This window comes from Homo sapiens, chromosome 14 (assembly GCF_000001405.40).
Source record: "Homo sapiens chromosome 14, GRCh38.p14 Primary Assembly".
Taxonomy (NCBI): domain Eukaryota; kingdom Metazoa; phylum Chordata; class Mammalia; order Primates; family Hominidae; genus Homo; species Homo sapiens.
In genome coordinates, this window is record NC_000014.9 from 49532482 (window position 1) to 49559857 (window position 27376).

At 41.8% G+C, this 27376-nt stretch overlaps 1 long non-coding RNA gene and 1 pseudogene across 2 annotated transcripts in view, besides 1 other annotated feature; one reads left to right on the forward strand and one right to left on the reverse strand.

Annotated features, from left to right (window-relative positions):
* Window positions 1-18170, reverse strand: part of LOC107984701 (uncharacterized) — a 29554-nt gene extending 11384 nt beyond the window's left edge. The window contains exons 1-2 of one of the 2 annotated variants that reach the window (XR_007064154.1): window positions 17368-18170; window positions 10598-10695 (exon numbers count right to left, since the gene is read on the reverse strand). This is a non-coding gene — a long non-coding RNA (uncharacterized LOC107984701). Of the gene's footprint in view, window positions 1-10597; window positions 10696-17367 lie in introns of those variants that run through there. The other variant, XR_001750760.3, reaches the window with a different exon arrangement.
* On the forward strand, window positions 20152-20267 carry RNA5SP384 (RNA, 5S ribosomal pseudogene 384; annotated as a pseudogene).
* Window positions 21328-21913: an enhancer, noted in NCBI's record as "OCT4-NANOG hESC enhancer chr14:50020527-50021112 (GRCh37/hg19 assembly coordinates)". NCBI's record gives its function as "activates a minimal SCP1, AML or CMV promoter by ChIP-STARR-seq in primed H9 embryonic stem cells {active_cell/tissue: H9 hESC(primed)}" and the evidence as "EXISTENCE:reporter gene assay evidence [ECO:0000049][PMID:30033119]".

Here is a 27376-nt window from a genome sequence, read left to right on the forward strand (position 1 = left end):
AGGGAAATCTGTATATCAAAGAGACAGCTGCACTCCCGTGTTTGTTGCAGCACTGTCTGCAATAGCCAAGATTTGGAAGCAACCTAAGTGTCCATCAATAGATGAATGGATAAAGAAAATGTGCTACTTATACACAATGGAGTACTATTCAGCCATAAAAAAGAATGAGATCTTATCATCTGCAACAACATGGATGGAAGCAGAGGTCATTATGTTAAGTGAAATAAGCCAGGCACATAAAGACAAACATCCTATGTTGTCCCTTATTTGTGGGATGTAAAATCAAAACAATTGAACACATGGAGATAGAGAGTAGAATGATGAGTATCAGAGGCTGGGAAGGGTAGTGGAGGGCAGAGGGGGGGTGGAGATGCTTAATGGGTACAAAAAAAGTAGAAAGAATAAATAATACCTAGTATTTGATAACACAACAGGATGACTATAGTCAAAATAGTTTAATTGCACATTTTTAAATAACTGAAAGAGTATAACTGGATTTTTTTGTAACACAAAGGATATATGCTTGAGGGAATGAATACCCTATCTTCCATGATGTGATTATTACACATTGTATACCTGTACCAAAACATCTCATGTATCCCATAAATATATATACTTACTGTGTACCCACAAAAATTAAAAATTAAATATTTATAAAAACAAAAATAAAAGTAACTTTCTACCCATCTAAAACTGCTAATTGCAAAAGACATGCCAGTTACTGGCATTGTTATATAAAAAAGCTGGAAGCAGTGAAGCCAATGAGAAATAAGATCCCACTTCTGATGAAAACGGACCAATGAGAAGTAAACTCCTGCTTCTAACAACAATTGAAAGCAAAACTTTATACTAAGATTGGTCAAGGACATGCCAGTGAGTTGTAGATCTAGCTTTTTTAGGCATCAAGTTGTAATGTTATTCGATTAATAATTTCCTCCGTGACAGCCAAAGCCATGGTCCAAAAGGAGTGATCTTCACTGCCCAGCCATGAGAGCAATCTGCTTGGAGATGCCATTCTCCTCCCTCCCTCCACCTCCTACCTCTTCCTCTCACTGGCTGAACCCAATGGGATGCCAGAAAATGGCCATGGATGCAGTACATTCCATACAACATAGTGTAAATATGTTTTCAAATCGGAGGTTTGCTGATATAACTGGAAAATCCAAGAAAAAAAATCAGATACAGTACACGTCTCCAAGTGTTTTCAAATAGGGAAATAATCATATTAAAATGTAGATTCCTGGCTTCTCTTAAAAGCTGAAAGATCCCCCAGCTGCGATGGCTCATGCCTGTAATCCCAGCACTTCGGAAGGCCGAGGCGGGTGGATCACTTGAGGTCAGGAGTTTGAGACAAGCCTGGCCAACATGGTGAAACCCCATCTCTACTAAAAATACAAAAATTAGCTGGGCGTGGTGGCAGGCACCTGTAGTCCCAGCTACTAGTGGGGCTGACGCAGGATAATCACTTGAACCTGGGAGGCAGAGGCTGCGGTGAGCCGAGATCTCGCCACTGCACTACAGCCTGGGCGACAGAGCTGGACTCCGTCTCAAAACAAAACAAACAAAAAATTTTTTTAATCTGGCAACACCAGATCTATTTTCTGTAGGGCAGCACTCAACTGGAACTGAGTAACTGCAGCTGCTCTAGACAAGGCATGCCCTCTCCAGCTTTCCCCCGGACCTACCACCTTCTCATGTGAGGCTGACGGTGTTTTCACCCTTGAGTTGTCAATCAGCAACAGGCTTGCAGGGTGTTTTCTTATAATAGAAAAGCATCCCTATACACCAACAACAGACAAACAGAGAGCCAAATCATGAGTGAACTCCCATTCACAATTGCTTCAAAGAGAATAAAATACCTAGGAATCCAACTTACAAGGGATGTGAAGGACCTCTTCAAGGAGAACTACAAACCACTGCTCAAGGAAATAAAAGAGGATACAAACAAATGGAAGAACATTCCACGCTCATGGGTAGGAAGAATCAATATCGTGAAAATGGCCATACTGCCCAAGGTAATTTACAGATTCAATGCCATCCCCATCAAGCTACCAATGCCTTTCTTCACAGAATTGGAAAAAACTACTTTAAAGTTCATATGGAACCAAAAAAGAGCCCACATCGCCAAGTCAATCCTAAGCCAAAAGAACAAAGCTGGAGCCATCACACTACCTGACTTCAAACTATACTACAAGGCTACGGTAACCAAAACAGCATGGTACTGGTACCAAAACAGAGATATAGATCAATGGAACAGAACAGAGCCCTCAGAAATAATGCCGCATATCTACAACTATCTGATCTTTGACAAACCTGAGAAAAACAAGCAATGGGGAAAGGATTCCCTATTTAATAAATGGTGCTGGGAAAACTGGCTAGCCATATGTAGAAAGCTGAAACTGGATCTCTTCCTTACACCTTATACAAAAATCAATTCAAGATGGATTAAAGACTTAAACGTTAGACCTAAAACCATACAAACCCTAGAAGAAAACCTAGGCATTACCATTCAGGACATAGGCATGGGCAAGGACTTCATGTCTAAAACACCAAAAGCAATGGCAACAAAAGCCAAAATTGACAAATGGGATCTAATTAAACTAAAGAGCTTCTGCACAGCAAAAGAAACTACCATCAGAGTGAACAGGCAACCTACAAAATGGGAGAAAATTTTCGCAACCTACTCATCTGACAAAAGGCTAATATCCAGAATCTACAATGAACTCAAACAAATTTACAAGAAAAAAACAAACAACCCCATCAAAAAGTGGGCGAAGGACATGAACAGACACTTCTCAAAAGAAGACATTTATGCAGCCAAAAACCACATGAAAAAATGCTCATCATCACTGGCCATCAGAGAAATGCAAATCAAAACCACAATGAGATACCATCTCACACCAGTTAGAATGGCAATCATTAAAAAGTCAGGAAACAACAGGTGCTGGAGAGAATGTGGAGAAATAGGAACACTTTTACATTGTTGGTGGGACTGTAAACTAGTTCAACCATTGTGGAAGTCAGTGTGGCGATTCCTCAGGGATCTAGAACTAGAAATACCATTTGACCCAGCCATCCCATTACTGGGTATATACCCAGAGGACTATAAATCATGCTGCTATAAAGACACATGCACACGTATGTTTATTGCGGCATTATTCACAATAGCAAAGACTTGGAACCAAGCCAAATGTCCAACAGTGATAGACTGGATTAAGAAAATGTGGCACATATACACCATGGAATACTATGCAGCCATAAAAAAGGATGAGTTCATGTCCTTTGTAGGGACGTGGATGAAATTGGAAACCATCATTCTCAGTAAACTATCACAAGAACAAAAAACCAAACACCGCATATTCTCATTCATAGGTGGGAATTGAACAATGAGATCACATGGACACAGGAAGGGGAACATCACACTCTGGGGACTGTTGTGGGGTGGGGGGAGGGGGGAGGGATAGCACTGGGAGATATACCTAATGCTAGATGACGAGTTAATGGGTGCAGCACACCAGCATGGCACATGTATACGTATGTAACTAACCTGCACAATGTGCACATGTACCCTAAAACTTAAAGCATAATAATAAAAAATAAATAAATAAATAAATAAGAAAAAAATAATAGAAAAGTCCTTTTCTGTATTTACGTCTCTACTAAATGGGAAAACAAAAGATAGACGAAGAAGGCAGAATTATTCCTGAAAAATGGAAGAGAACATGTTTCTTATGAAAGGGAAGAGTATTCCTATGTTTTAATATGCACACAAAGTATTTCTTTATCAAATGAACACAAATGAAGAGACCGTCTGTCCACGGGAACAGAAAACCACATATGGCATGTTCTCACTTATAAGTGGGAGCTGAATGATGAGCACACACAAACACAAAGAGGGGAACAGACACTAGGGCCTACTAGAGGGTGGAGGGTGGGAGGAGGGAAAGGATCAGAAAAAATAACTATTGGGTAACCAGGCTTAATACCTGGGTAACAAAATAATCTGTACAACAAACCCTCATGACACAAGCTTACCTATATAACAAACCTGTACAGGTACCCCTAAACCTAAAATAAAAGGTTTTTTTTTAAAAAAAAAAAAAAAAAAAAAAAAAAAAAAAAAAAAAAAAAGGCTGGGCACAGTGGCTCATGCCTGTAATCCCAGCACTTTGGGAGGCTTAGGCAGGAGGATTGTTTGAGCCCAGGAGTTTGAGACCAGCCTGGGCAACAAACCAAGATTCCATCTCCTAAAAAAGAAAAGGAGACCATTTGTTTTTACCCATCCCTTCACTCAATTATGTTACTTGCCTGGACTCTGCTGGTATTTCAGCTTGAGATCCCAGACCAGAGCCATGCAGGTAGAAAACAGAAAAATCACCTAAATTTCATGTAATTGCCCGCAGTATTCTTTATTCTTTATTACTTATCGCTATACCCTGCCACTGGTGTTAAACTTCTGTATGTTTCTGAGCCCAGGAGCTATCTTCGTCCTCTAAGTAACTTGTGGCATCTAGAGCTCAAAGGTTTTGTGGCATTGCGAGGTGGGGCCAGGAGCGGTGGCTCAAGCCTGTAATCCCAGCACTTTGGGAGACCAAGGCGGGCAGATCAAGGTCAGGAGTTCAAGACCAGCCTGGCCAACATAGTGAAATCCTGTCTCTGCTAAAAATACAAAAATTAGCCAGTCGTGATGCTACACACTTGTAGTCCTAGCTACTAGGGAGGCTGCATTGGGAGGATCGCTTGAAGCTGGGATGTGGAGGTTGCAGTGAGCTGAGATCGCGCCACTGTACTCCAGCCTGGGCAAGAGTGAGACCCTGTCAAAAAAGAATGAAAGAACGAAAGAACGAAGGAAGGCAAGGCAAGGTAAGGCAAGGCGGAAGGAGAGGGAAAAAGAAGAGTGCAAGAACAAAACTATAACAGACACAAATAATTAAAAATTAAAGGCCAGTCATGGTGCTCACACCTGTAATACCAACACTTTGGGAGGCCAAGGCAGAAGGATTATTCAAGGCCAAGAGTTCAAGACCAGCTTAGGCAACATAGTGAGACCCTATTTCTACTAAAAAATTTTTTAATTAGCCAGACACAGTGGCTCACACATGTAGTAGTCCCAGCTACTCAGAAGGCTGAGACAGGAGGATTGCTTGAGCCCAGGAGTTCAAGGTTACAGTCAGCTATGATCACACCACTGCATTCCAGCCTGGGTAACAGAGTGAGCTCTTATCTCTATAAAAATAATAATAAAAACAACAAAATTGAAAGGAGACAATTCAAGCAGGAAGAATTTAATACAGGGAATTCATTACTTGAGTGATAGAAGAGCTGAGAAGCTAAACAGACAACAAGTTAATGCAGAGATTAGCAATAAATACCTGGAAGTTTTGCCACTGCTAGGGCTGATAGGACACAAGACAGGGGGGTGATACCAAAGCCAGGAGCCAGGCCTGCCGGTGGAAATCAGAAGGGCAGAGGCTACCTACCATGAGCTGGGACTACAGAAAAAGGGCTGTAGAACCTAGAATCATGGAGGAGACTGAGCCACTGCCAAAGAAACCACCTGACATCCTCTGCCAGCTCCTCTCATTGTCCACACTTACTCAGAAATGTAGGTTTGATACAGACAAAACAGGAAAAGAGTAGAGAATAAGTCTAGGAGCAATTGACAAATGACTAGAAATCAGGTTTTAAGGGATTTAAAAGGAATTGGGGAATAAGAAACAGAAGCAGCAAATGTAGACCACACATTTCAGCAGTTTGTTCTGTTTCAATATTTCAGTGCAAACTTCCATTGTTTGCATTCTTCCTGTATTCTTAAGATTTTCAAGAAACTAATTCCAAAAAGCCTACTTATTAAAAAGCTCTGTTTCAAATTATGCTGCCCGAGATGAAATAGCTTTTTCCCAAGTTTCTCCTTCCTCTTTTCTACTGAAATTTATAACCTCCTCATTAACTTATAATTCCTTTTTTCTCAGAATATTAATGAAGATAATAAATAAGTGTATGATTCTCCCCAATAACATCCTGAATTCCCTCCTGGTATAAGCTCTTCTTATAAAAATGTTTAACTATTCTTTAATCAGGAATTAAATGCAGAATGCTGGGCCAGGTGTGGTGGCTCACTCCTGTAATCCCAGCACTTCAGGAGGCTGAGGTGAGAGGATCACTTGAGCCCAGGAGTTTGAGACCAGCCTGGGCAACATAGTGAGACCCTATCTCTACAAAAAATACAAAAATTAGCAAAGCATGGTGGCACGTGCCTGTAATCCCAGCTACTCAGGAAGCTGAGGTAGGAGGATCGCTTGAGCCTAGGAGGTTGAGGCTGCAGTGAGCTGAGATTGCACCACTGCACTCCAGCCTGGGCAACAAAGCAAAACCCTGTCTTGAAAAAATTAAATAAATAAATAAATAGTTTTTTAATACCAGACTGCTGTTCTTGTTATTACTTTGTAATTACAAAACAGTAAATTTATTCACCTAAGAGAAAACCAGCCAGTGATTTAAAATAACATATGAGTAAGAGCTAGGAACACTCCCCTACTGACCAGATAAGGTTTTCCATTAAATCATGTGAATCACCTGAGTACAGAAACGCTATCGTTTTCAAGTTGTCTGTTCCTAAATCAGGTGATTGTTATTTTATCGTATGTCATTTGGTCAGCGAAACAATCTCTAAGTGATTTATGAGAGAATGACATTACAGGGAGACAGAAGACCTAGACCTGGAATTTAAAAAAAAGAAAAACTTAGATCTTATCTTCAGTTTCCTCATCTGAAAAATAAGAATAATCATTGGAGTCCAACTCTCTCATAGAGTTTTGGAAGGTCAAATAAGAGAAGTAGTTGGTTGTTCCTTATAAAATGCAATATAAAAATATAACTTGAGAGCCAGAATGTCTGGGATCCAAACTCAATTCCACCACTAATTTGCCATGTGGCCTCAAGCAAATTCTTCAACTTCTCTGTGCCTCAATTCCCTTGTTTGTAAAAATGGAAAGGGCAGGAAGGCCTTCACCATGACTTGTAACTAATAGGACAAGTGTACAATAGCCCTGCCCCCTTCCTCAACAACGGGACATAGTGCAATTTACACTCAAGAGCTCCCAGTGGATCAGGCTGAGACCACACCTGAAATCCCACCCCTAAGTAGCACCTTCTTTCCTTACTCTGTTTCCTTCTCTCCCTTACCAGTTTTTCCTAAAAGCATTCTCTTAATAAATCTCATGTACACAAAATGTTGTTGCAGGCTCTGCCTCTAGGCAACTCAAACTAAATCAGTACGTGCTACTCTCATAAGGTTGTTCACAATACAGGTAGAACACTTAGAATACCACCTGGAACATAGTAATTGCTCAATAAGTCTGAGCAGAAAATGGTCCAGAAAGAATGTGATATGATGATTAGTCCAGAAAGAATATGATATGATGATTGTGGTAATGATGTTACAAAACCCCTAGCTTATGGTATAGCATGTAAGGTGTTTGGAAGTCACTACTCTATTCTAACAGGTGGAATATGAACAAAAACTGAAAAACCAAAAACTCTTCCTAGATCTGTCAGAGAAGTGAGGTCATGAGGCAAACTTCTGCCCATAAAATTGGAGAGACAGACAGATACAGAGAATCACAACTTATCAGAGCAGAAACTTCCACAGGAACCAGTTCTAGGGTAGGAAAACTCATGAATTGCTGGAGCCTCAGTGTGGACAAACTCCTAGGGGATCCAGTCATTGAGGGGGTCCCCACATTTTTGTGAGTTTTACCTCCAGAACCTCTACCAAATTCTCAGAGAGAAGACTGGAGAAAAATTCCTCCTGGCTTCTAGTCAGGAAAGGGGGAAAAGAATCATTTTTACATGCACCAGAGCATTTTGTTTTTCTTATCAAGGCCTGCCCTCAAGAGAAACTATGGTTACTACAGCCTAACCTATTGGGGTTTATTAGACCTAACCAACCCAAAGGAAGGGAAACACCCAACTGCAGCACTCCCGAGCCATTCTGTCCAACCTCAGAAAGGAATAAACTGAGAAGCACTTGTGAAGTTCACAGTCCAACAGCACAGGCACACTAAAAGCCCCAGTCACAGCAAATCATAGCACTACAGATTGCTTCCCCTCCTCCCACACCTTACCACCACATCACTTAAGGCCTATTTATAGAGATTTATTTTTACCCAGTGATATGGTTTGGGTCTGTGACCCCACCCAAATCTCATGTCAAATTGTAATCCCCAGTGTTGGAGGTGTGGCATGGTGGGAGGTGATTGGATCACGGGGGCAGATTTCCCCCTTGGTGCTGTTCTTGTGACAGTGAGTAGGTTCCCATGAGATCTAGTCATTTAAAAGTGTGTGGCACCTCCATCCCAACTCTCTCAAAGGCTGCAGAAATTTGCATAAGTGAAAAGGAGCCAAGTACTAATATCCAAGACAATGAAGAAAAGTCCTTGAAAGCATTTCAGAGACCTTCTCGGCAGACCCTCCTGGAGGCCTAAGAGGGAAGGATGGTTTCAGGGGCTGAGCCCAAGGCCCTGCAGCCCTGTACAGCCTCAAGACACTGCTCCCTGAATCCCAGCTGCTCCAGCTCCAGCCATAGTTCAAAGGGGCTCAGGTACAACTTGGGCTGCTGTAGGCCCTTTAGAAGGTGCAAGCCATAAACCTTGGCAGTTTTGACAAAGTGTTAACCCTATGGGTTTGCAGAGTGCAAGAGTTGAGGCTTAGGAGCCTCCACCTAGATATTAGAAGATGTGTGGAAAAGCCTGGATGTCCAGACAGAAGCCTGCTCCAAGGGTGGAGCCCTCGTGGAGAACCTCTTCTAGAGCAGTGCAGAAGGGAAATGTGGGGTTGGAGCCCCCACACAGAGTCCCCACTGGGGCACTGCCTAATGGAGCTGTGAGAAGAGGGCCACCATCCTCCAAACCCCAAAATGGTAGATCCACTGGCAGCTTGCACCGTGCACCTGGAAAAGGCACAGGCACTCAACACCAGCCCATGAAAGCAGCCACAGAGGTAGAGCTGCTCACAGCCTTGGGAGCCTACCTCTCACACCAGTGTGTCCTGGATGTGGAACATGGAATCAAAGGAGATTATTTTGAAGCTTTAAAGCTTAATGACTGCCCTGCTGGGTTTCAGACTTGCATGGGACTTGTATCCCCTTTTTTTTGGCTGATTTCTCCCTTTTGGAACAGGAGTATTTACCCAATGCCTATACCTCCACTGTATCTTGGAAGTAACTAACCTTTTTTTATTTTACAGGCTCATAGGCAGAAGGGATGAGCCTTGTTTTAGATGATACTTTGGACTTTGGACTTTCAAGTTAATGCTGGAATGAACTAAGACTTTGGGGGACTGTTGGGAAGTCATGATAGCATTTTGCAGTGTGAGAAGGACATGAGATTTGGGAGGGGCCAGGGGTGGAATGATATGGTTTTGATCTGTGTCCCTGCCCAAATCTCCTATCAAATTGTAATTCCCAGTGTTGGAGGTGGGGCCTGGTGGGAACTGATTGGATCATGGGGGTGGGTTTCCCCCTTGGTACTGTTCTCATGATAGTGAGTGAGTTCTTGTGAGATCTGGTCATTTAAAAGTGTGTGGCACCTCCTCCCCCCTCTCTTGCTCCTGTTCTGGCCATGTGGGATGCTTAACTCCCCCTTTGCCGTCCATCATGATTGGAAGTTTCCTGAGGCCTCCCCTGAGAAGCTGATGCTGCCATGCTTCCTGCACAACCTGCAGAACTGTGAGCCAATTAATCCTCTTTTCTTCATAAATTACCTAGTTTCAGGTATTTCTTTACAGGAATGTGAAAACAAACTAATACAGCCAGTATATCATGTCAGTTTTCAACAACAACAACAAAATGACAAGGCAAACTGAAAGACAAAAGCCAAGTCTGAAGAGACCAGAGCAAACATCACAACCAGGCTCAGATATGGCAGAGATGTTGGAATTATCAGACTGGGAATTTAAAACAACTATGATTAAATGTTAAGGGCTGTAATGGGAAAATTAGATCGCATGCAAGAACAAATGGTTAATGTAAACAGAGAGAGGAAATTCTGGGAAATAACCAAAAATAAATGCTAAAGATCAAAGGTACATTACAAAAATTGAGAACGCCTTAGACAAGCCTACTAGTAGACTGGACACAGCTGAGGAAAGAATTTCTGAGCTACAGTGTATGTCAATAGAAACTTCTAAAACTAAAGAACAAGGAGAAGAAACATTTTAAAATGCAAACTGGAATATCCAAAGAACTGTGGGACAACCACAAAACCTTTGGCTTTCCAAAAATCTCAGATAAACTCATAATATTTAAAAAGGACCTCAGTTTTCCACCAGCTCAGGCTCCAGATAAATGAAAATTTTCTGACACTGAGTTAGGCCACCAGCTGCCATTAGTATGGTATTAGAGAAGAGGTGAGTTCCCAGATTGGATCTCAGTGGCGTATCCCTGGACAAAAGGGAGTAGAAAGGAAATAGAAGAAAATAGCATGGCTTCTGGACTTAAATTTTTATAAGGTCAAGAACCTTGTTAAATCCCTAAAGCCTAGCAAGTGTCTAGCACATAGTCATAAAACTGTAAATAATTGTTGGGCACAGTGCTCACCTCTGTAGTAATCCCAGCGCTTTGGGGGGCTGAGGTGGGAGGATCACTTTAGCCCAGGAGTTTGAGACTAGCCCGGGCAACATGGCAAGATCCTGTCTCTACAAAAGAAAAAAAATTGTAATTAGCAGGGCACCATAGTGTGTACCTATGCTCCTGGCTACTAGGGAGGCTGAGGTGGGAGAATCGCTTGAGCCAAGGAGGTTGTGGGTGCAGCAAGCCATGATCATGCCACTGCACTCCAGCTGGGTGACAGAGCAAGACCCTGTCTCAGAAAACTGTAAATAATTATTTAATGTGATTGTTTTAAACATATGTCCATAAATTCTTTGATATGCCTCTCCTTAAAAGGTAGAGTTTAATTTCCCTCTGAGTGTGGACTGAACTTACTGGGTCACATATATTGATTAGAATATGGAAGAAGTGATAGAAATATCACTTCCAAGATTAGGTTGTCCAAAGACTGGGATTTCCACCTGCTGTTCACACTCTCTCTCTCCCTCTTTCTCCTGGATCCCTCACTATGAGGGAAGCCATGTCATAAGCAGTCCTATAAAAAGGCCCACATGGCAATGAGCTAAAGCCTCCTGCCAACAGCCATGAGAGAACTGGGAATGGATCCTGGAGCCCTTCAGATAATAGCAGCCCAATAGCTTAACTGCAACCTCGTGAGAGACGTCAACCCAGTGTCTTGGTTCCCAACCTACAAAAACTATGAGATAATGTTTTTTTTAATTTGTTATAAAATTTGGGGTAATCTGTTACACAGCAATAAATAACTAATAATGTGGAAAGACAATAAAATTCCAGATATCAGTAGTTTGATTAAAGAATAAGGGCAAAATACCAAGACTAGGAATAAGAGGGGTTACACTGGAAATGGAGTTATCTGTGTGAATAAAGGGCGTTGGGAGAAGCAAACTGACGCTTCTCCAAATGTCAGCATGCCAATATAGAAAAAGCAGAAAGAAATATGAACTATAGCAAGCTCAGTGGAAACTGGATTCTTAAATTCATTGAGGTCTCTGTTACTGTGGGGTACACTACCAAGAGAAACTGAGTAACATTAAACAAATGCAAAGTGCTATCATTAAGGAGCAAGTGAACAGAAACTTTTTCCCTTGGGGAAAGAGAGCAAAGACAAATCATCAGACCATTAAAAAAGATCAAGAATTAATCTTTACTCTTCTGCAGCTAGAACAAGGAATACCAGATAATACAAACTCTTTGTATTCAGAGTCGCTTTTTCTGGTCACCTGAATATAAATTAATAAAGTGTTTGTATAAATTCAATCTTAACTAGATGAATTTCAATAAACTTTCCATAATTATACATTAATAGATTCCCCAGAAATTTTCCACCATGTTCAACTTTTCCTAGGCAGCTCTTGCAGCTTTTTTCCCGAAGTTTGAATTACTATGTGATGACCCTGTTTGTCCCCCTGGCATTATGATGGGGGTGAAGTCCAGCAGGGCTAAGACTTGAGTTCTGGTCCCAGCTCTATCTAACCAGTCACAGGACCTCAAATAGGACCTTTCCTTTCTGAAACCTACCTCCTTATATGTCAAACAGAGTTGATAATGCCATACTTCACAGCACTGATGTCAGAATAAATAATAGATGAAAAAGCGCTTGGGAAACTGTAAAGTACAGTGCAAATTGGAAAGGTGAATTCCTTTTAGTGGCCATATTTTTCAAAGAAGGCCGCCTCTCAGCTACTGTCCTTTCCTCCGTCATTTTAGATCTTTTATTAATAGGAAATGTTCTCTCCAGTATCCGCTCTCCCTTTGATTATAACAATAACGATATATCTGTGCTTTCACCCACCCGCCCACCTCCTTTCCTCTCCTGTTGTTCACATTATTATTTCTGCCTTCTCAGAGCCTGCTCTCCATTTCCTTTCACTCCCTCTCTGCCTTCCTCCATATGGGAGACATTTCTCCCCAGTAACTGCTTCAGGCCTGCCCTTGAAAAAACCATGGTGGAGTCATTCTGTTATCTCTTTTCAGGAGAAAGAGCTACCTGCCCAGCGAGGGCTTGTGCCACAACTCTAAATGTCAGGTCTGAATTACCTGGGCCAGTGCAGTCCAGGACTGCCTATAGCCCAGGGATACTTACATTCTGACCAACACTTTCTCGCTTTCCTAAGGCACCAAATTCTCCAGTGTTTTAAATTCCAGGAGATCTTATCTCCTACCAAGTTGGCCTACACCGCTTTCCCACAGGGAGGCAGTTGGTGATTAAGAACATAGGCTTCAGGTCAGGCCGAGGCAGGCAGATAACAAGGTCAGGAGTGCAAGATCAGCCTGGCTAATGTGGTGAAACCCCATCACCACTAAAAATACAAAAATTAGCCGGGTGTGGTGGTGCACACCTGTAATCCCAGCTACTCGGGAGGCTGAGGTAGGAGAATCACTTAAACCCGGGAGGCGGAGGTTGCAGTGAGCCAAGATCACACCATTGCACTCCAGCCTGGGCAATAGACTGAGACTCCATCTCAAAAAAAAAGAGAAAGAAAAAGAACATGGGCCTGAGAATAGAATGAGTCACCCTGGGCAAGTGACCTAAACTTTCTGGGCTCCAGTTGTCTCATGAGGATAATGTCTGCCTCCCAAGGTCACAGGTATGTGTCAAATAGGACCCGTATATAGAGTGCCAAAAAATGTGCCAGGCACAGAAAATGGCTCCATAAATGTTAACTAACCAGTGATCATTACTGTTCACAAGGTTTCAGTTCTCCTCTCAAGCTATCCTGGCCTCCTGCTGCCACATTCCTTTCCTCTTTCAAAGTTCTCATTCCCTTTCTTCCTGCTGATCCTAATAGGCCCATTAGGGCCCACCCCTCTGCAAAGCTCTTCTTGCCACATCAGCCTACAATGAGGTCTTCCTCATTAGAGCTCTCATAGGCCTTGTCTTAACCACTCATTTACTTGTCGTGTTCTTCTTAGTGCTGTTCATTACCTTTCTACACGTGATGCCATTTAGACTGAGCAAGCTTTATTTGCTGATTTTGTGACTTGTTATAAGTACTTTACCAAAAAGTACTTTACCTTTATATAGGCCCAGTCACGTGGATGCTGAATTTTGAAACAATATAAGGATACGCCAATGATTAACACTGAACGGATCAGTGTCAGCCACATTTAGAGTCCAGCAGTGGGCCAGGATTTCCTTGCAGCTCCCTTTGTGTTTTCTAGAGATGGTCCAACTGATAAGAGGATACAGTTCCAACACTGCTTTGTCAGTAAAATCATCAGAAATGGAAATAATAAAAGAGATATAGACTTGTGTTCTGGAGTGGTAGTGAGAAGATTCTACAGTTAAAAGGTAATCAGATAAAAGTCATTAGCTTCTAATTAAGATCATCTGGCTGGAAATTGCAAAATGTACACCTGGAAGTCTTGATCTTTAAAACAGATAAAACCTGGGGCAAGGTTAGTAAAGTTGAAAAGGAGGGCCAGCAATAGACAGCAAGAAGGGGCAGTCAGGAGAAAGAGATGTCCCACCACATCATAGGTGCCAGGGCAGGGCTTCCCAGGACCCAGGAATAGATTTCAGCAGCCCCTACAAACTGAGGACGCCCTCTGGAAAGACCACATACTCCTTCGCCTCTCCTCCTGGCCCTATCCAAAGAGACTAAATCAGGGCTATTCCCAAGGCCAATATTAAAGGGGGCCTAGGATGATTGCAAGGATCCCTACCCAAAGAAATCTCTCCCCACCAACTTGCTGATTCTTAAAAAGCCTTTTTTCCTGCAATTAGAGACTGAGGTTTAAAAGGTAAATGCAGTTCACATATTGACTAAACAATCAACAAATGCAGACCGTGCCAAACCACCCTTTCTGGGTTTTATTTGGGTATGAGGGAATCAAAAACACCAGTGAAGGATGAGACTCCAAAGTGAGTCAACCAACTGTTAACTTCAAAGCCAAAGAGAATTTGTGTTCCAGGATAGCTTTCTCCAGCTGTGCTGGTATGCACAAAGGCAGCTCTGCTACTTAGGACACTTTGTGACTCTAGTAAGGTATAGACTTGAACTGCAAGCAACTCTAAACCCTCCAAGAAGTGAAACATCTTAAGGCTAGACAAGGTAGAAAAAGGTGAGCACTAGCAAACCACATGGGCCTGCCCTGGAACTGTGCCACAGTCAAAGTACAGTGGTTAGTAGTCAGAATAATTTTTGAAGAGATTTTCTCCACACATGTCAATTAGCATTGAAGGGAGTTGATATGGACTGAACTGTGCTCCCCCTCCACCATCCACATATTAAAGCCTTAACCCCCCATGTGACTGTATTTGGAGATAGGGCTTTTAAGGAGGTAATTAAGATTAAATAAGGTTGTAAGGAAGGAGGCTTAATTCAATAGAACTTGTGTCCTTATTTAAAAAAAAAAAAAAGGGCCAGAAACAGTGGCTCACACCTGTAATCCCAGTACTTTGGGAGGCCGAGGCAGGCAGATCACGAGGTCAGGAGATAAAGACCATCCTGGCTAACATGGTGAAACCCCATCTCTACTTAAAATACAAAAAATTAGCCAGGCGTGGTGGCAGGCGCCTGTAGTCCCAGCTACTCGGGAGGCTGAGGCAGGAGAATGGCCCGGGAAGCGGAGCTTGCAGTGAGCTGACATCGTGCCACTGCACTCCAGCCTGGGCGACAGAGTAAGACTCCGTCTCAAAAAAGAAAGAAAGAGAAGATCAGGCATGGTGGCTCATGCCTGTAATCCCAGCACTCTGGGAGGCTAAGGCAGGCAGATCACCTGAGGTCAGGAGTTCGAGAACAGGCTGGCCAACATGGTGAAAGCTATCTCTATTAAAAATACAAAACTTAGGCGTGGTGGCACATGCCTGTAGTCCCAGCTACTCAGGAGGCTGAGGCATGAGAATAGCTTGAGCCCGGGAGGCAGAGGTTGCAGTGAACCAAGATCACACCACTGCACTCTAGCCTAGGTGACAGAGCAAGACTCTGTCTCAAAAAAAAAAAAAAGTAAAGGAAGAGACACTGGAAATACATGTACACAAAGGCACTATGAGGACACAACGAGAAGGCAGCCATCTGCAAGCCAGGAAGAGAACTCTCACCAGAAACCAACTCGACCAGCACATTGATATTAGACTGGTAGCCTCCAGAACTATAAGAAAATAAACTTCTATTGTTTAAGCTACTCTGTCTGTAGTATTCTGTTATGGCAGCCTGAGCAGAAAAATACGGGGGTCTAATTTATAACTGTCCAACACACACACACACACACACAGAGAGAGAAAGAGAGAGAGAGAGAGAGAGAGGAAAACTTACCAGCAGAGAAGGCAATAGGAAACTAGGGCTGGCCCCTGCAGAATTCTTTCAATGGGCTCCAGGATAGGGGATGCAATGTCCGTGAATACTCCCTGATATGGTTTGGCTGTGTCCCCACCCAAATCTCATCTTGAATTCCCACGTGTTGTGGGAGGGACCCAGTGAAAGGCAACTGAATCATGGAGGCAGGTCTTTCCCAAGCTATTCTTGTGATAGTAAGTCTCACAAAATCTGATGGTTATTATAAGGGGGAGTTTTCCTGCACAAGCTCTCTTTTGGCCTGCTGCCATCCATGTAAGGCATGACTTGCTGCTCCTTGACTTCCACAATGATTGTGAAGCTTCCCCAGCCATGTGGAACTATAAGTCCAATAAACCTCTTTCTTTTGTAAATTGCCCAGTCTCAAGTATGTCTTTATCAGCAGTGTGAAAACAGACTAATACACTCTCACATTAGTAATTTTTACACCATCCCAACATAGTTATTATAATAGAAGTTTTTTCATAGGGTATTAGTACGTACAGGTCAACAAACACTTATGAGGCACCTACTGTGCCAAGCAGTAAGACAGGGAGTACAAAGATGATGATATCTGCCTTCAAAGACCTTATAGCAGGCTCACCAAGATCCTGGACTGAGCCACGCTCTGCCCACTCCTCCAGGCAGTTCATACTGTGCACCTGAATCATAAGTATTCCCTAATCCTACAGACCCCCAGCTCTCTGAATGGTTTGCTAGTGGACATCTTTTTCTACCTTGTCTTGCCTTAAGAGGTTTTACTTCTTGGAGAGTTTAGAATTGCTTGCATTTCAAAAAGAACCCAAGGTTCTTCATTTGCAGTTTTTCTTGTTTTTGGAAAGCAGAATGGTGGCTGGGAAGAGCTCTGGACATGGAGTTGGGTCTGGATGAGTTCCAGGCTCCCACTTCAAGCTGATGACCCGTCTGACCTAGTCTCAACCATAGGTAAATGAAGACAATAATACTTACCTGATAAAATGTTGTGAGGATTTAAAGAAATGTGTATACTTAAGTGCAAAGTTACATAAACAAAATGCAGTAGTAGCAATAACTATCACGTACAGACTATTCTCTACACACCAGGAACTGTGGTTCTTAGAGATAGAGAAAAAAAAAAGAAGTGTTTTTCCTTTTCTCATAGACTCAACAAAACATTCTGACACCAGGTGTTTGGGGATTTCTTCCCACACATCAAGCAATCAGTGTTCCAGCAGACACCAAATAAATGCCCTTTAATTCAATTCAACTCTGATGCTATCAACCTGGAGATAGCATCAGGCCCCACAGGTTAAGGGCTCCTCTCACAAGACTGCCTCCCACTTCAGATGCCAATTGCAGGCCCCAGGTTGTGACCTGTGCTTCTGCCCAAAAGGCTGTAAATCAGGGTTCCCATGACTTCCTCCCAGGGTTCGATTAATTTGCTACAGCAGCTCACAGAACTCAAAGAAACACCTTACTTACATTTACCCACTTATTATAAAGGATATTCAAAGGATACAGATGGACTGCTGGATGGAAGAGATGAATTGGTCAAGGTGCAGGGGAGGGGCGTAGAGCTTTCATGCCCTTTTGGGCGAGCCAGGCTTCAGGCATCTGCACATGTTCAGCTATCCAGAAGCTCCCCAAGCTGAGTCATTCTGGGTTTTTATGAAGGCTTCATTGCATAGGCACGATTCATTGAATCATTGACCAGTGAAGATCAACCTAACCTTCAGCTTCTTTCCCCTATCTAAAAGTTGAGGGGTGAGGTTGAAAGCCCCAAGGCTCTAATCACATGGTTGGTATCCCTGGCAACCAGCACCCCCACTCCTAAGGCTGAGAGCCCGGGCCACCAGTCATGTCATTAGCATACAAAAAGACACTTACCACTTAAGGGATTTCAAGGGATTTAGGAGCTGTGTGCCGGGATCAAATGGCAGAGACTAAATATATATTTCTTATTATATTACAACATAATGGTGGTCAATCTTCACAATAACCATGACAAGTCTATGACATGGTACTATTATGATCCTCATTTTTACTAATAAAAAAAGCAGTGATTTAAGAAGTTACACAACCTGGCCAAGGTCACAGGACTGAGAATCTGAAGCTTGGTAGTTCAAACTCCTGATCTCTAGGTACCTATTAACTTATTATATTTTCCCCCTGGTTGCATAACCTTTTCATCAATTATCTTAGGTACTTTCAAGTCATTTGGATTTATTCCTGATCATCATAATGTAAAGTATTGATACATACTTTACAGATGAGAGCCGCAAAGAAAAGAAAGAAATATAATAGGTAGAAACTTAAGTAACAGGCTAATCATTAGAAAGGTTTAAGAGAGACTACTCATTCAGGCTGCTGCCAAGTCCACGCCTCTAAATGCACTCCATTACTCTTTTAAAGAACGCTAATGCATGAAGTTGGTTATTATTATCAAATCTCTGACATAAGGGAAATTTTTCTGATTTTTTAACCTTAAAAATTGTTCCTTTTAAATCATCATATTAGACTACCTTTTTTTACCATTCAGACAGGTAAGCAGGAATGTCTTCTTTTTTTTAATTGAAGAAAAGCTTAGTTTTTCCCTGCAACTGCATATAAAGCCTTTTAACTGTGTGATTACTCTGCCATCTAGCTTCCTAAGCCTATATAGCTGTTCATGAGATACTCCTGGGGTATATTAGGGATAAGCACTGCTTTGGTTTAAAATGCCTTGGTTTAGATTACTTAAATGTTCAATGATCACACACACACACACACACACACACGACAATAACAGTAATCATCATGTCTCCTCCTTGTATGAAATGTCAATCTACAACGTTGTAAGAAACCCCTGAGCCAGCTGAAATTTCTTCTTGTTAAATAAAGGTCAACTGAACAGTGTTCTTTCTTTTCAAGTATCTGGAATGCAGATTTTGGACTTAAACTGTGTAAAGTTAACGTGAAAGGCCAACAGATAAATCACTGAGCATTCATCCATCTGTCGTTTGACTAAATCTTATCAATTTAGATGAAAAGAGAAAGCTTTTTCTAGTCGTCTGTGTATGTCATGGGACATACCCTTAAGTTACCCAGAATAGTGTTTATTATAGAAATATTACTGTTCCAGGGTTAAGTGCAGTGGCCCATGCCCGTAATCCTAGCACTTTGGGGGGCTGAGGCGGCAGATCACTTGAGGCCAAAAGTTCAAGACCAGCCTGCTGAGCAAGGTAAACCCATCTCTACTAAAAATTATTATTGTTCCTAGACAATAGTAACATATCCCTTAGGAAATGAAGAAAAATCTCTATTTTTGGCCTGAACCTGGGTTTGAGACCATATGAAATCACAGTCCTTAGAGCCGGCCATGGTGGTGCACATCTGTAGTCCAAGCTACTCAGGAGGCTAAGATGGGAGGATCATTTGAGTCCAAGAGTTTGAGCCCAGCCTGGGCAACATAGTGAGATCCCTCCAACTAAATTTTTAAAAAAACAAACGCTGTCCTTGATTAGAGTCATCAATATCTGGAAATAAATGTCCTCATCTCCCTCAGGGTAGGGGACTCTGTTGCCAGCAGAGTGTGAACACATGAGTGGCAAATAGAGACAAGGTTATTCTCATACCACATGGGACCTGAATCTTTTCCTATGAAATTGCTCCTTTGTGATTAAAGGATTTGTACTCGGTTGCCCTGGAGGTCTTGGTGTTCTACTGTGTTTTTCCAGAGTGGCCCCACTACACAACACACACACATACACACACACACACACACACACACATTTCTTTCTGTTAAGACACCTAATTCTAAGATGTTTTCAGTTTAAAATGAGTAGGAAAAAGGTATGCTTCCTATGCCATCAGCAGTTTTCAGTGAGCAATTGTAATGCAAGAAACAATTATAAAGTGATCAGATATACAATGTGATTTGTCAGAAAAAAATGTGAAAGACCTAGAAATGGACAGGCTGGGCGCAGTGGCTCACGCCTGTAATCCCAGCACTTTGGGAGGCCGAGGCAGGTGGATCACGAGGTCAGCAGATCGAGACCATCCTGGCTAACACGGTGAAACCCCGTCTGTACTAAAAATACAAAAAATTAGACAGGCGCAGTGGCGGGTGCCTGTAGTCCCAGCTACTCAGGAGGCTGAGGCAGGAGAATGGTATGAACCTGGGAGGCAGAGCTTGCAGTGAGCCGAGATTGCGCCACTGCACTCCAGCCTGGGCGACGAGCGAGACTCTGTCTCAAAAAAAAAAAAAAAAAAGAAATGGACCAAAAAGTCTACAGCCATACCATCCTGAACACACCAATCTCATCTGATCTCAGAAGATAAGCAGGGTCAGGCGTCGTTAATACTCAGATGGGAAGAATGAACCAAAAAGATAGCTGAGCATTTTCTGTAAACAAAAAATGAAATCCTAAGCCCCTGCACCAACTGAACAGACTCCGTCTGAGTCAAGGGAGCCACAGAGAAACCTGAAAACCTGACCTCCCAGCCATGACCAGAAAGGAGGTTAGATATGCCTCATTACACCCTCCTCCCTTTTGGAGTTTAGGCACAACTGACAAGCATTAACATTAAAACAGTGATCATAAGACTGACAAAACAGACTCTTTGTGGCAATAAGATACCAAATTCCAACCTGACTCTGGTATAGCATCACATGACAGAGAGCAGACCCTGAAGAAAATGAAAATATGTTACCCCCAAATATATTTATTTGACATATTTTGAAATGGCCCTGAAAAGCTGTCTTTCATAGGGGAAATTTGCATCTTAGAGAATCTTTATTAATATAGTCAGGCCTTTCCTGGATATAGAAGAGATTAACTAAGAGTCTGACACCTTTCATGATTCAAAAAGAGACATTTACTGTCTATTCTCTCTGAAGGCTGTTACCTGGAGGCTTCATCTACATAGCAGGAACCTTGGTCTCTTCTGCTGAGTCATGAAAAGAAAATAAAAAGAACCTAGTCCCCTAAACCCCCTTTATCTTAACTAAAGCATTTCTTTCTATAGTCTTTAGACAAAGCTTAATTCTTCAACCAATTGCCAATTAGAAAATCTTTGAATCCAACTATGATCTGTAAGTTCCTCCTCTTCAAGATATCTCACCTCTGTGTGCTGAACCAATGTACACACTGCATGTATTGATTTATAATTTCAGCTATAATTTCTTTCTCCTTCAAATGTATAAAACCAACCTGTAACCCAACCATTCTGGGCAAACTTTCTCAGAACCTCTTAAGGCTGTTCCTGGGCCATGGTCACTCATATTGGCTCACAATAAACCTCTTTAAATATTTTCCAGAGTTTGGTTTTTTTAAATCAACATTTCAATGGGAAAAAAAATGTATTGTTTCTAGTACTCTCTCCTGGCTTATCTGATTCTATTGATACAGGAGCTAGAAAAAAATTATTTAGGCAGATAGTGAGGGTAAGAGAGTCCTCAGCAAGATTTGCCTTTTAATAAAAATCAGCCCCAAAATCATTTCTTTTCTAACAAACAGCAGCCTGAAAAATCAAGCTGCAGACAGGTAAGCAAGCTGGAAGCTGCATAGGTAAATGCCGGCAGCTGTGCAAATAGAAAAGGGATACCTGGAAGCCAGGTATGTTCAACACGGAGGCTCCATCTTCCCTTTTCTTTGTCACTATGTATGCAGTAAAGAAGCAGGCAACATGGTGCTGGCCAGGTAGAGAACCTATCTGCATAATAAAGGATTAGGGTGGTGAAAGATTAGGGCACAATGTAAATGGCACACCTGGTCCAACCAATCCTTTGCACCCTATGTAAATTAGACACCATCTCTTCAAACTCATCTATAAAACCAACCACCTCTTACTACAAACCAGGACATCCACTCAGAACCGCCTCCCTCTGCATGAGGGAGCTTTTCTCTTTTGCCTATTAAACTTCCACTCTTAAACTCACTCTTTGTGTGTCTGCATCCTTGATTTCCTTGGCATGAGGTACTTCAGGTATTACCCCAGATGGATGATGCTGCTTCACTATTAGGTTTTATTATCTCTGGCCTACTCATAACTCTGTAAATAACTGATAGCAAAGCAAAAATTCTTGTCTACAGACATGCAAGTAGATTCTGACTGCTTGGAGGAAACACTGATTTCCCTCCACCTGTAGTGTTAAAGAAAAAATTACAGGCTGGGTGCAGTGGCTCACGCCTGTAACCCCAGCACTTTGGGAGGCCGAGGGGGCCAGATCACGAGGTCAGGAGATCGAGACCATCCCGGCTAACACGGTTAAACCCCGTCTCTACTAAAAATACAAAAAATTAGCCCAGCATGGTGGCGGGCGCCTGTAGTCCCAGCTACTTGGGAGGCTGAGGCAGGAGAATGGCATGAACCCAGGAGGCGGAGCTTGCAGTGAGCCAAGATCGTGCCACTGCACTTCAGCCTGGGTGACAGAGGGAGACTCTGTCTCAGAAAAAAAAAAAAAGAAAGAAAAAATTATGGCCAGACACAGTGGCTCATGCCTGTAATCCCAACACTTTGGGAGGCTGAGGCGGGCAGATCCCCTGAGGTCAGGGGCTCAAGACCAGCCTGGTCAACTTGGCAAACCCCTTGTCTACTAAAAAAACAAAAATTAGCTAAGTGTGATAGTGGGTGCCTGTAATCCCTGCTACTCAGGGGGCTGAGGCAGAAGAATCACTTGAACTCGGGAGGCAAAGTTTGCAGTGAGTCGAGATCGTGCCACTGCACTCCAGCCTGGGTAACAGAGCAAGACTCCATCTCAACAGAAAAAAAAAAAAAAAAAAAGAAAGAAAGAAAAAATTATTCAATGATACTTGTTAAAGCATGGTAAGGCACACTTTATTCAGAACCATTGAGATAAGTATAGGGACCACTAAAACAGGATTTTGTAATGAGGGAGAGAGATTGTGCCCAACTCCAAATACAGCATGGGCAAGTGAAAATTTACAGCCAAGAACCAGGGTGGAGGTCAGTGGATGGAAAATTACTAGGAGGAAACATCAAGGGTAAAGGAGATTCTGCATAAACCCACCTAACAGGAGTCTTGCTGAAGACAGGCCAGGGTGATCAGACATCACCTGGGGGATGATGGAGGATCAAAGGTCAAAGATGATCAGACATTGAGAGTAGGGGGTTTTCGTTAAAATGTCTTACCAGAGTTCTTGCTAAAATTGGATTTTACAGGTGCATAAATAGGCCTAGGAGAAGTTTCAAGAACCTGACTAAAGTTTGGTCAAATAAAGAATCTTTGTCAGTAGGAAAAACCAGTTTTACATTCATTTGTAAATTTATTTCACCGCCTATTTTTGTTTCTACTCTTTCAAGTTCCTCTTTGAAATAGCTGTCAAATCTTTCCGGTTCCCTCATCAATTAATGAGTTATGCCTGTAAGAAAGTCACGAATTTACCTTTTTTTTTTTTTTTTTTGAGACGGAGTCTCGCTCTGTCACCCAGGCTGGAGAGCAGTAGTGCAGTAGTGCTATCTCGGCTCACTGCAAGCTCTGCCTCCCAGGTTCACGCCACTCTCCTGCCTCAGCCTCCCGAGTAGCTGGGACTACAGGCACCCACCACCACACCTGGCCAATTTTTTTGTATTTTTAGTAGAGATGGGGTTTCACTGTGTTAGCCAGGATGGTCTCAATCTCCTGACCTCGTGATCTGCCAGCCTCAGCCTCCCAAAGTGCTGGGGTTACAGGTGTGAGCCACCACACCCAGCCCCATTTTTTTTTAAATTATCCTCTAAGAGACCTTATTTTCTTACCAGCCAGCTTAGGAGAGGAGTGGAAATCAGGTAGCAAGAGAACAAAGGGCTAGATATTCCACTGGGTTTCTCTAAAGTCCCCAGACTCAGTTTAAGAGAAGGGACAGCCAAGTGCAGTGGCTCACACCTGTAATTTCAATACAATGGGAGGCCGAGGCGGGGGGATCTCTTGGCCCAGGAGTTTGAGACCAGCCCTGGCAACATCTCTACAAAATGCTGTCTCTATAAAAAATTTAAATAATTAATTAATTAATTAATCAAATGTAGTGATGCACACCTATAGTTCCAGCTACTTGAGAGGCTGAGGTAGGAGGATCACATGAGTCTGGGAGGTTGAGGTTGCAGTGAGCCATGATCTTGCCACTGCACTCCAGCCTGGACCACAGAGTGAGACCCTGTCTTAATAAACAAACAGGCCAGGCACAGTGGTTCATGCCTGTAATCCCAGCACTTTGGGAGGGTGAGGCGGGCAGATCACCTGAGGTCAGGAGTTTGAGACCAGCCTGGCCAATATGGAGAAATCTCGTCTCCACCATAAAAATACAAAAACTAGCCAGGCGTGGTGGTGCATGCCTGTAATCCCAGCTACTCAGGGCCCGGAGGCAGGAGAATCCCTTGAACTTGGGAGGCAGAGGTAGCAGTGAGCCAAGATCACAACGCCGCACTCCGGCCTGGGAGACAGAGTGAGATTCCATCTCAAAATAAAATAAAATAAACAAACAAACAAATAAATAAATAAAAGAGGGGGCGACACGGCAATCCAGCCAGGCTTTCAGCCTCAGGTCTGAGCCTCATAGCCTGAGTGTCATTGAAGGGGTCACATCTAGGCTCAGGGATCCCTTTGATTTCCCAGTTTTCTAATTAAACCAGCTTGGATGAATCATGGCTTTTCCCAGAAGAGTCAGGAACCTCAAATATCACATTGTAGACAATGTACTAAGCACAATGATTACTTCCCTTTACCTTAAATAAGAATATTCCAAAAGCATACTCCTTACTTAACAAAGACATGACCATGACCATTCATACAACAATACAGTAACCAGAGTTTCCCAAAAACTGAGACAAAATTCAGAAAAAAAATACTCAATTTATTTAACATCCCTTTGTGCATTGTTACAGGCAGTGTAATTAAGACCTTGAACTTTGAAGTCAGACAGCCTGAATTCAAAGCCCAACTCTACCTTTTATTGTAGCACTGTAGAAGTAATTGACCTAACTTCTCTGGATCCCAAATTTCCTTATGTGTTAAATGAAACTAATAATAATTCCCTCGCAGAGGTTTTGTGAGAATTTTAAAGTCTTTGGCAGGAACAGATGCATAGTAAATCCTCAATAAATGGTAGTTATTATTGTTATTATATTCTACACTTATTTTATATAAAACATATAACTGGCCGGGCGCAGTGGCTCCCACCTATAATCCCAGCACTTTGGAAGGCCAAGACGGGTGGATCATGAGGTCTAGAGATCAAGACTATCCTGGCCAACATGGTGAAACCTGTCTCTACTAAAAATACAAAAATTAGCTGGGCATGCTGGTGCACGCCTGTAGTCCCAGCTACTCGGGAGGCTGAAGCAGGAGAATCGCTTGAACCCAGGAGGTGGAGGTTGCAGTGAGCCGAGATCGCGCCACTGCACTCCAGCCTGGCGACAGAGCAAGACTCCATATCCAAACAAACAAACAAACAAACATATAACTATACTATCTTCCAGTAGTAAATAGGATAGGAGTTGAGGCTGAAGACTTTGTGATCAAAGCCTTTTAATTACATTTTGAGGCCCACACCTCCCCTGCCCCATTCCTAAGGGCCAGCCTCCGGAGCCTCTTTTATAAGGGCACTGCAATAATTTGAATGTGTTCCCTAAGTTTAAGGGTTGGAAAGTTAATCCCCAATGTAACAAGTATTGGGAGGTGGGGCCTAATAAGAAGTGATTAGGTCATGAGGGCTCTGCACTCATGAATGGATTAATGTCATTATCAAGGGAGTGAGTTTGTTATGAAAGCAAGGCTAGCCCTCTCTTGCTTTCTTGCTCACACCCTCTCTTGTCCTTCCAGCATGGGATGACGCAGTGCAAAGGCCCATGCTATATGCTGGTGCCATGGTCTTAGACTTCTCAGCCTTGGGGACTGTGAGCCAAATAAACTTGTGTTCATCATAAATTACCCAGTCTATGGCATTCTGTTATAGCAACACAAAACAGACCAACATAGGCACTAATCCCACGACCTTATGACCTCTCAAATGCCCCACATCTTAATACTGTCACACTGTATCACACTGCGGATTAGGTTTCAACACACAGATGGGGGCTAGAGGGGACTGGGAACAAATATTGAGACCATAGCAACAACAAAACTTCCAGAAGATAATACAGAAAAACATTCTCATGATCTTTAATGAAGAAAATATTTTTTAAATAAGTTTTTTTAAACCATAAATATTGATAAATCATACTACATTAAAATAAGTAGTAACCGGAGGGTTTGCCAGGTGATTACGTATAAGATTTTAATGCAAAAATTGTATTTCTTTTCTATATCCAACAACAAACTGGAAAATGTAATTTGAAGAAATACACCATTTAAAATAGAATTAGAGAAAATCAAGTACCTAAGATTCATTCTAATGAAAGATGTACAAGAACACTACAGGGAAAAATAAAAACTTATTAAGAGACATGAAAAAAGATCCAAATTAGATGTATATATATTTGCTGATAGGAAGACTATCATAAAGATATTAATTTTCCCAAAACTGATACACAGATTCAATGAAATTCCAAACAAAATCCCAACGGGATTTTTCATTGAACTTAACTAGCTGATTTTTAAATGTATATGGAAAAGTAAAGATTTTAGAATAGCCAGAATATTTCTGAATAAGAAAAGGCAGGGGGAGACTTGCCCTACCAAATGTGAGGACTTATTGTGAAGCTGTAGCAATTATAACAGTATGATCAAAAATAGACTAATTGACCACTAAAATAGAAAATAGAGCTCAGAAACAGACCCAAGCACGTTTGAAACTTCGGTATATGAGAGAGGTTGCATATTAGATTTGTTAAAGTATAATTTTCTAATGGATTAAAAAAATTATTTCATGCAAAAGATTTTATTCAATTCATTGATTAATGAGGAAATCTGTCAGATGCTAAAATTAGCCCAAAGAACATTTAATGAGTTAGATGTGTATAGAGGCAATGTAAAAAAAGAAATTTTAGGTAGTTTCAGGTTTATGGAAAACCAGTTCCTATTTCTCTAAGAGTATTTGTTCTATTGGATAGAAATGATTTACATCTCTAGTAGAAAAAAAATATTTAAGTTAATCTCTGTTCCTACAGAGTTGTAAATTGCTCAACCATTACAGAGTCAAGCCCAGAACCTCACTTGAAGGATACCCAGTAATCTCTTTCTGCTATTTCCACATTTCAGTAATTATTTTGACACATGAATAGGAAGAAAAGAGACTATTTAATAAAACAAAAAGAACTATTTAATAAAATAAAAAGAACCATATATAAATGGTATATATATCATATATTCATATATGGTGTTTCATCTCTTTTCATATGAACGACTACTTTCATATGAATAACTACAAATATATATAAAAATAAACTCCAGATGAAGTCAAAATTTAAGTATCAAAAACAAACTTGAACACTCTAAGTATTAAATACAGGTGAATATCTTTTAGAATGTGGGAAATTAAAGAATCTCTTTTTTATTTTTTCAGACTTTTACATT